The following is a 10812-nucleotide window of genomic DNA, read 5'->3' as shown; positions in this document are numbered from 1 at the left end:
TGTATGTGTGACCTGGGCCAGGCTCCTTAACTTCCTGAGCCTCCTTCCCTCATCTATAAAGTGGGGATACTAATTTTTACCTTTAGGGTTGCTGTGACATCAAATAAGACGATGACTATGAAGTGCCAGACCACCTAATAAGGGCGTAAGTAGTAGTAGCCATCATGGTTATCATCTTCAACACCTTATCATCACCACCTCCCAGGATGAATGAGGGGGCAAGGTGAAGAGCACTGAACTAGACTTGGATCTGGAGACCCAAGTTCTGGTCCTAGGTTGCTGCCACTAAGCTATATATTCTGGAGTTAGTCAGTGGGCCCCACTAGATCTGTCCCTCATCTTTTAACAACAACAAAAAAAAGTGGGGAGGATAGTACTATGTCTGTCATACCTTCTTCACAGCAACTGATTGAGTCACAATAAGGTAACTTTTGTGAAAATGCTTTGCAATCTATAGAGAGTGTGTTGGGGTTCCCCAAGACAACTCCCAGGTTGATGACTCACTAGGATAGTTCACAGGACTCAGCATGATCATGCTCATGATTATGATTTATTACCACAAAAAGATATGAAACTGTCAGATAAGGGAGCAGGACCATAGGACAAAGTCTGGAAAAAATTAGCTGCAAGTTTCCGAGAGTCCTCTCTCAGTAGTGTCACACAGGAAGTGCCTAATTCTTCCAGCAACAAATTGCGACAACAGGTGCGAAATGTTATCTACCAGGGAATCTTATTAGAGACTCAATGTCCAGGTTTACTGGGGGCTGGTCATGTAGGCAGCCTCTGCCTAGCACATACCAGAATATCAGACTCCCAGAAAGAAAGCAGGTGTTCAGTATAAATGATATTGTTTGTACAAACAGTTTAGGCACAGTAAGCCATTCTTATGAGAAAATGGTGGGAACCCTCCCAAAATCTAACTTTCCAGATGTCAGCCAAGGGCCACCCTTACAAGCAAGAACAGCAGTCTCAGGCCTGCTACATTAACTCCTTTTTGCACAGAGTAGAATCTATAGAAAAGATTTGTATTAGCCTCTACCCAAAAGGAAAAAGGGAGATAATAATAATAACATTAGTTCATACTTACTATTTGTCACTGTGTGCCAGGTCCATTTGTACATGCTTTATATATATTACCTTATGTAACATTTTACCCATACAGCAACTCCATAATGGAGGTATTGCTATCATCATTGTCATCATTATCACTATGTTGTATATGAGGAAACTGAAGCCTGAAAGAGACTAAGTAACTTGCCCAGCTGACTAGCTGTAAGACTAAGACATAGTAGGAGCAGGACATGGACCCAGTAGTCCATATTCATAACCACACTGTAATACACTAGACTGCACATACTATAGGCTTAATGCTGCATATGTGTTATTTCATTAAGGATCACAGTAAATCTAGGTGAATGTTGTTACTAGACTAATTTTGCATCAAAAAACCTGTGGCTCAAGAATGTTAACTAATATATGTCACATCACAGGATCAAAGAAGTGATAGCTTCAGGAGTGGGCATTGGCCTTTCCCCAGCTCCCTGTTCCTGACTGGTACTTTGTCTGAGCCTTTGGCAGGGGTGGTCAAGGTGAAAATGATTCATTCCGGGAGCTTGGACCAAGAAACCCTCTCCAAATTCCATCTCTGGGAGACAGTGTTAATGAAAGAAGGGACTACGTTGCAATTAATTATACTTTTCCTGCTGTGTTTGAGAGCTCTAGATGCTGTCTTCAGCTCTTTCTTGTTGCCATGGCAGCAGATGTGACATTTCTTTGATGGGCAAAAAAAAGAAGAAGAAACCACACTTGGTCCTCAGTGTGGAAAAATCTAAAATAAAACAAATTTTTTAGAAAAATCTGTTCCCCAGATCTTGCTAGTTTTGCATACATAGTGGTTATACTCTAAGGAAATTCTTAGAATGAAATCAAAGGGGAATAGATAGACAGGTAGTGAAATCTGCTTCTCTGGGAAAGTCATATGCTGTATGTGTGGGGTGGTGATTTTTGAAAATGGGATATACAGCAGGATGTGGACAATATAGGAGTGGTGGCAAATGTTCACCTCTTAATGATGACAGCTAGTTTCTAAGGTCTGGTTCATCATTTTGATTCTGATTCCACCTCCCTCATGCTGCCACTCATACATATTACAGTGCATTGGCCTTAACAAATGCTTAGCAAATGCTTTTTAGTGGGGGCAGCATGATACAGAAAGCAATTGTAATTCACAGATAAGTGCCATGATGAGGTAAGCTAGGCATCGTATGGAAGCACAAATATTTGTCGTGTTGTTTATATGATTTTTGTCTATCCATACACACACATACGCATAGATTTTTTAATTTACTGCATTTTAAGCATGTATTCAGGTGATTACATTAACCTCTTCATCCAGTTGCAGTGGTGGTCCAATATTTCATTGAGTGGAGGAATCACCGCCTACTATGGGTGGACATTTGTTACCATTTTTTCCCATTATAAAAGAAACAGTTCTACAGGCTGATACATCTGAGATGATTTGTTTACAGTACAAAATGCTTCATTTAGAAATATAGCCATGTTTCTCTTTATTATTTTACTTTTTTTAGTAATTTTAAAAATTTGATTGTAATGGGAGGGGAAAAAAATCTCAACTAGGTAGTAAAGTACCTTTCTTATCTTCTATTATCACCTTCTAACATCTGATGGTCTCCAAGAAAAGAAGCAGATCTCAGTTTGGGGGAATCTATAGGCCACCCCTGTAACCTCCAAGAAGAAGCAAGAACTAACTTTAGTGTGTTGCCAAAGCAGTGAGAGTGTGGACTGTGATCCAGGGAATCATTCCGGGAGTTGATATCAAGTGATGATAGGTTCTCAGAGCAAGAGCAAACATTTGAAACCATAAATCCTAAATCTGTGCTGCCAGAGATTCCTAACAATGTCCTCTTTTGTCCTTTCCTCCAGAGCCATGTTCGACTACGACAAGAGCAAGGACAGTGGGCTGCCAAGTCAAGGACTTAGTTTTAAATATGGAGATATTCTCCACGTTATCAATGCCTCTGATGATGAGTGGTGGCAAGCCAGGAGAGTCATGCTGGAGGGAGACAGTGAGGAGATGGGGGTCATCCCCAGCAAAAGGAGGTAAGAATGCCTTTTGTACTAGAATATTTGCTTGTCAGCTATCCAGCGAGTGGAGATGAGGGAAGAAGAAGGTGGGAGAAACTGTTCACAAAATTAAATTTATTTAAATGGGATAGTCAATCTGCAGGAAAATTGTCAGTGGTGACAGGTGACATGAATTAAAAATCCTCTTTTTCCTATATTAGGGTTTTACCAAAATTGGTGACTGTGACAAGAAATAAAGGAAGAAAGAGGATCAGCTTACACTGTGTTCCTAAAACTTTTACCAGTGTGTGCATGTGCAAACTTGTGCTTATCAGCTCATATGCCGACTTACAAATTCAGTCCATTTATTTCCAGAGTTTCAACATTTACCAATGAATGTTATAGAAAGGCCAAGTCGAAGGCAAATGAAGTAGGCAATTTACTAGGCTAAGGTCCTGGCTGTGTGATATCTCCAAATATTAGTAGAAAAAAATGGAAAACCTTCATCTCAAATTCAGGTGCTTGGGATGTGAGCTGTCAAACATCTGGTGAGGTCTAAGGACTGGGTTTACAATTTTTTTTCTTTTTTTACTGTTTTCTTTACTCTTGTTCCCCACCTCACAACTTCCAATAGCCACCAAGATATTTAGTTCTGTGTAAGTGTTTCCTAAATCAAGAGTATCATGCTTTCTCTTCCAAGCATTTCTTCAGCTCTGCTTTTGAAAAGCAGAAATGTGCTTCAGAACAGCCAACTCCTTAATCTGTCCCAGCAGATCCATCACCAGACAGGAACTTTCCTTCTCACAAATGTCCCTTTGGCACCAAGATGTCCAAGAAACAGAAATTGGCTGTATCCCAGAGACTAGATATAGTACAAAATCAGTCAGGAATTATGCTTAATAAAAGCAGGCACTAGCTTTTCTCAAGCTGCAGATTTCTCAAAGGGCTTTGATCCTCATCTCCAAACACCCAAAATGCCTTTGTAAAATATTCCCAGTGAAGCTGGGCATTCAAGTGCTACTACACATCAAGTGATTGAGCTAGTACAAACCATAATGGGGAGATGGAACTTAAACCTCAGAATAACTCTGTGGGGTATTTGTGCTCCCGAGACAACTGATCCTCTCTTCTCTCTGCCTGTGGTCGCACAGCCTGGGAAAGAATGGGACATGGAAAGCAGAGGGCTCACTGGTCCTCAGCTGTTCTCTTACCTTTAGCCAGGAGGAGTCACAGTGAAGGTGCCGAAATTCCAGGGAGCCTCTCCCTCCCCCATGCCAGTGCCTATAGATCTCCCACCAGCAGAGTTCTCTGGGTTTCTTTAAGCCTCTTGGCTCCTGGATAATTGCCTAACATTGCTTTTCCAGGGCATTCTGACTGTAGAATGGCTGTGTGTGTTTTCTGAAAGGTTACATGTTTAAAGCATTGACTCAGCACTGGCTTGTTTATATTCCGGGTCTCTCCATTTCCATTTACTTCAAATAAAATGTCAAGACAACGTGCATTTTGGTTTGCTTTGATTTAATTATTTTGAGCTGTCTGAAGAGCTGTTCTCTAGAAGAAAGAGCCATCTTGTTGAATTATGGCCCCAAAGATAGTAATGGGGTGGAGGAAGGAAAGCTATGCGGAAATAGATGTCAGGTCATTTTAAAGAAATCCTCTCACTAGTTGGAGCTGCCTAAAGATGGCATGGACTATCTGGGAAGATAGAAAAGGGATTCAAATTTTGGATACAGGGGTTGAACTATACAGTTTTCTGACTCTTTCCAACCCTGAGGTTCTATGATTCTAACCAATCTTATCAAGTCATTTGTTTGTTCAATTAGCTCATCATTTTTCTCCAGAAGAACATTCTCAATGCTATTCCTCCTGAATAATTTTCCACCTGCTGGTAATCATTCTTGAATTAGCTATTTCTCTCTTATTTTGGAAGAGAACCATCTTAACAACCAGAGTATAGCTGACCTGGAAAATAAGTTTGATTAGTGACTGCAAGGTTGATATTTATTTACATTCTACTTTTTATGAAGGGTGCAGTAGCTCCACCTCATATATATAATATATATTATATACATATAATGTATAGCTGTAAATACATTTCTGCCAAATTTTCTTTTTAGGATTTTAATTATTTTCAAAATAGTTACTTTTATTCCTTTAAGTATTTGTAAAAGTAATACCTTTTATTGTAGAAAGGTGGGAACATTTAGAAAAACATAAAAATCACTTACAATTCTACCCCACAAAGAGTACCCATGTACTTATTTTAATGTAATTTAAAAACGTACATTTATTAGGTTGATGTTATTTTTCAATCATTAATTTCTTTCTAGCCTGTTTCTTGAGTATAATTTACCTAGTAGTGCTGATCTGGAAAATTTTTTAAATCTTATAATGGATAACATCAGTGTATGACTTTATATCCTTTTCAAAAATGTTTCTCTATTGATAATGTCATTTAATCATCCCAAATGAAACCATGAGATGAAGAGTATGAATATTATCACCTTCCCCCTCCTTTTTTCTGAAGATGGTGAATAAATTTTATTGAACAAAACATTCCTGTTGCACGCTAGACACTGTTGTAAGCCCTTTACAATTATTAATTTATTTAAACCTCATTAGAACCCTATGAGTAAGTTGCTGTTATTATCCTTATTTTACAAATGAGGAGATTGAGGCACAGAGAGGTTCATTAATGTGCCTGAAATTGCCCGTGTAGTAAGTGGCAGAACTGGAATTTGAATCCAGGCTACAGAATTGCACTTAAGACATATGAAATCTTGCCCCCTACAGATACAAAAATAAGAGCTAGCAAAATTCAATTCAGCAAGCATTGCTTGGGCAGCATCTGAGTGCCACGTACTATTGTTGGTTCACTACCTGGAGCCCATCACTTGTGGGACCAACATGTAACTGTGGCACAGCTACTCTGCGATTAGGGCAATGCAGGCTATATTGTAAAGGCCAGGAAAGTGAAACGGCAGCAGACAGAGAGTGAATTCCATCTGATAACAGCACTGATCATGTATTGCACCAGGTGCTTTCAAATACATCATTTCAATTTAATCTACACAAAAACCTCATAAGGAAACTGAGGATCAGAGAAGTCGAGTAACTTACCCAAAAATACACAGCCAGCCACTGACCAAACACCAGTCTCTTTGATAGCAAAGCCAGGTGGCTTTACACTACACCAGGAACAAACTACCCTAGGAGCATATGCCAAGGAAGGAAATAGAAAGTCAGATAATTCAAGTAGCTTGCCAAAATTACAGTGGCAGCAGAGGGCTAAGCCTAGATTCAAACACATGCCTTTCTGATGTCTCTATGAGCAACTGCAAAGGTTTGGGGCTCTTCTTGGCCCTACAGCTCTCAAGTCTGGTGGCAGGGTCTTTTAAGAGAGAAAAATGGAAGTCCATGTCTTGCTCCCACCTAGCATAAAGGGACTGACTTGGCAGTGAGCACCTGAAGTAGGGTACCTGTATTACTTCCTTTTTACAAGTAAGGAAACTGGGACCAGTAATGAGAAGTGACATTATGGGCAGCGTTATCATAATCATCTTTGTAGCAGCCTTTTGTATAGTGAGTTATTACTATAGATCAGACATTGTGCTAAACAATTTTCTTGTATTATCTCATTTAACATTCATTATAAATTTTTGAAGTCTGCGCTACTATTCTAATTGTATCAACACAAAATCTGAAATCCTAAGAGGTTGAGGACCACCCTAAATTATAGACCTAGTAAGTGGAAGAGGCAGAATTCAAACCCAGGCTTGTGTGACTTTAAAATCTGGACTCTTAGCATAGAATCACTTTTCTGAGATTATGTAGTGTATAAGAGGCCAAGCTGGGTTTTGTTCCATGGTATCTCTCTCTCTCTTTTTTTTTTTTTTTTTTTTTTTTTTTTGAGACAGAGTCTCACTTTCGTTGCCTAGGCCGGAGTACAATCCCAACTCACTGCAACCTCCACCTCCCGGGTTCAAGCTATCCTCCTGCCTCAGCCTCCTGAGTAGCTGGGATTACAGATGCCCACCACCATGCCTGGCTAATTTTTGTATTTTTAGGAGAGACGAGATTTCACCACATTGGCCAGGCTGGTCTCAAACTCTTGATCTCTGGTGATCTGCCCGCCTCGGCCTCCCAAAATGCTGGGATTACAGGCATAAGCCACCGCGCCTGGCTGTCCCATGCTCTCTTAAGCCAAAGAGATTATTCATTGTTCCCTAGTGACTGGTCACTTGGGCTCTCAGATGGCAGCATATGGCTGGCATTATATAAGAGTTTACTCACCTAGCTGTCACAGCAAGCCTGTGGCCACTAATGTGGGTGACATTCTAATTCTCCCTCCAACAGGACCTGTGGAGCATAGGGATAGGAACTCCGAAGGACAAATGATGTTCCCACTGTCCAATGCTCCAAGCCTGACCCAATTATGGGTTTGGCCAGAACCTAAAAATACCAGATGGGAGAGAGGGAGAGGAAGACAGTTGGGCTTATTAAAGCATGGCCATTTGGTGCTCTCTAGAGATGTGAAATGTCAGAATTGATTGCTCAAATTTTGCCATTCCATTTATGTTTTTGGTATTTTGGTCAGTGATGAGACTTGGACAGGGAGGATTATTTCTGCTCAAACAATCTAATTAATTGCTTGAGTCTAAGTGTGAGTGGGGAAGGAAGGCAGTTGTTGTCATTGAGATTTGGTCTGTCTCTTCAGGTGGTCCACAATTTCTTTAGGTGAAAGCCTTTGGACCTTAATATTTACTAGCCAAAGAAGTCTTACTCAGTAAAACAATAAGAAAAAGTGATGCTAGACTTTTACCTAGATTCTTACCGGGAAAGTAAGTTGTGAAATGGCAAATCACTTTTTATGGGAAAAACTGGTTGTTCAGCAATTCACTTAAACTCCCTGACCTGATTGTTTTCACAATTAGGTAAAGAACTAGTAGCCCCCTTGAGAGTTTATTTATTTACTCATTCAACAAAGTCTCATTAAGCATCTACTATGTACCCAGCTCATGTCAACCCCTGGATTATAGCTATTATAGGTGAAGTGCTTAGCACAGTTTCTAAAACTTAGTGTACATTCCAATAATAGCTGTTTTCCATTTTTCAAAATTTGAGCTTTAGTTGCCAGAAAAAAAAAAAAAAACACCACGTTATTTAGACCCCTATTTTCCAGACTTAACTCTCATTTCAACAGTAAATCATTCACATGCATCCCAGAAAGAGCTAGGAGAGAGGAAAGGGCTGAGGCAGATGAGGAAGCTAAGCCACAGACATAGCCTCCCTCTCAAGGAAAGAGGTTTGCAGAGAACCCCAAGAAGCAGTACTGCAAGCCTCTGTGATGGGAATGCACTATTAGGGTTGCTGGTGTGCTGAGGAGATGGATCAACTCAAATAGGGATTTAACTAAGCAGATTTCCATGTTTAAAGTAAATTTATTCTGAATTTTGAGGTCAACTTCTTGTGGTATGCTACTAACTCGATTGTATGCTTAAATTTGGTTGTGGTTTATTTAATAATTAATAATATTCATAGCATTCAGGACATTAGGGAGATGGGGATGCAAGGGTACATTGGTTATCATTTGTGAAAACCTCAGCCTAGACTTCTAAGGATATGTATGTGCCTTCATACTGTGGAAGCTGCTCCAAAAATCTCACGTTTGTTGAGAATTTGGATAATGCAGGCTTGGGAGGTACCTGAATGCTGTTTCCCAAACTGAGTGGCTGTGGACAGACACTGAAGTTAGCTGTCAGAGAATGTATGTTCAGGCTCTGTTTCTACCAGTTTCTGATCTGGCAAGCTTCAAGTCTCAGTTTCTTCAGTTATAAAATGAGATTGATAATACCTAAATCCTTAGGTTGTTGTGGGGACCAAATGAGATGATGTAAATGTGAAGGAACTTTATTAATAATTATATGTTGCAACTTCAGCAGCCACTTATATTATTATTAATGAAACTTTCAACCCAAATAGGAAGCAAAGCTTTTCAACTTCCTTCATGGGTGAACTGGAAGTATGTGACCTCCATATGGCTTCAATTTTTTTTTTTTACTTTCTCTATTACCCATTTGAAGATTAATAATAAACTATAGCAAATGGTAGGTGAGTGTATGTGTGTGTGTCTGTGTGTGTGTCTGGCTGACTTAATATTCTTTGCAACCATTTTAAGATTTAAGGGATGAACCATTAAAATCTTCCTAACAGAGACATTTCTCAAGAAAATTGAAAAGGATAAACATAGAAATGGGGTTGGGGTGCAGGGCAGGGGACAGTATTAGAATGCTCTGTCCAAACAGTTCTGAGAGTTGAATACTGAGTTCCTCCTGACATTCTGTATGTTTGGAACCTGTGTGAGTTCTGTGGGTTTATGCAGAATTTATTTGCATACCCTGATCAAATAACCATGTATTCTCTGCATACTACAGCCATTTTGGCATCATTGAATGATGCCAAAGCATTGACTATAGCCCAGTTAATGCAAAGAAGCTGAAATAAAGTTAGGGCTGTAACAACAGTTTTAGAAGAATACAAAGAGATCAATATAAATTATCATTTGCCCTTGGATTAAAATCGAGAAAAGGTGATGAAGTGATGAAGCTCAAAGGAGGCATTTTATCAGTGAGCATTTTCCACTTGGCAGCTTATCTTATCTGAAATCTGTCTTGCTTTCTCCCCAACTGTTGTATGCCTGGTGCAAGTAGAAACTCTTGGTGGAACACATTGTTTTACTTATTATTTATTTATTTATATTTATTTACTTTTGGGGGAGACGAAGTCTCGCTGTGTCACCCAGGCTAGAGTGCAATAGCATGATCTAGGCTCACTGCAACCTCCACCTCCCGGGTTCAAGTGACTCTCCTGCCTCAGCCTCCCGCGTAGCTGGGATTACAGGTGTCCGCCAACACACCCGGTTAATTTTTGTTTTTGTATTTTTAGTAGAAACAGGGTTTCACCCTGTTGGCCAGGCGGGTCTCGAACTCCTGACCTCAGGTGATACACACCTGCCTCAGCCTCCTAAAGTGCTGGGATTACAGGCGTGAGCCACCGCACCCGGCCTTACATTGTTTTAATATATTACGTTAGAGTTGAAAAATTTTGTTCAGCTGTTTCCACTCAGATATTCTACTCTCACACTGAAATAAATATATTCTGCAATTCCATTCTGTAACTATAGAAACCCTGATCTTCACTGTGTTTCAGTTGGGAACACAAAAGAGCTCTCAGTTAGAAAGGAGTGTGCTGTTAATTATTGATCTATGAATAGCTTAGACTCCATAAACTATTAAGTTTCTGTAGGTTCGGGTTTTTTCTTTCTCTTTTTTCCCCCACATCTTTAAATTTAAAGCTAGCAATATTTAAACAAGAAGTCATGTTAAAACAATGCAATGAATATTATTTTTGCTGGACAATTATTTATTGAGGACTTGCTATAAAACACCATCAAGTGATAAGTGGGCTTTTACCTTAAGGTACATACAACCCTGTATATGCAGTGCAAATGTAAGTAAACACAAGGAAATCAAGAGGTAGTGCTGACATGGAGACTGTTCCAGTTACAAAGGAGCAATCATGTCTGACTGGAGGGGCTCAGAAGAATCAAGGAAATATTTAGATTATTTTCCACTTTTTCAACCCTGGCCTTCAAACAGGCGGGAGTCCACCCAATTTTATTTTCCTAATATTTCTCAAGCCTTTCCCTCTTCTCCACCCCACTATCAT

At 39.7% G+C, this 10812-nt stretch overlaps 1 protein-coding gene across 62 annotated transcripts in view; it reads left to right on the top strand.

Annotated features, from left to right (window-relative positions):
- DLG2 (discs large MAGUK scaffold protein 2) overlaps window positions 1-10812 on the top strand; it is a 2173362-nt gene that overhangs the window by 2083572 nt on the left and 78978 nt on the right. For 61 of the 62 annotated variants that reach the window (NR_165353.1, NM_001351274.2, XM_017017256.3 and 58 more), the window contains one exon: window positions 2944-3120. The exons of the other annotated variant lie outside the window; for it this stretch is intronic. Coding sequence is in view for 60 of the 61 variants with exons in the window: in NM_001351274.2 (NP_001338203.1) it covers window positions 2944-3120 (177 nt within the window). In the remaining variant the exon portion in view is untranslated. The remainder of the gene's footprint in view (window positions 1-2943; window positions 3121-10812) is intronic. 62 annotated transcript variants of the gene reach the window in all.

Source organism: Homo sapiens, chromosome 11 (assembly GCF_000001405.40).
Source record: "Homo sapiens chromosome 11, GRCh38.p14 Primary Assembly".
NCBI lineage: Eukaryota > Metazoa > Chordata > Mammalia > Primates > Hominidae > Homo > Homo sapiens.
This window is presented reverse-complemented; position numbering and strand designations above follow the sequence as displayed.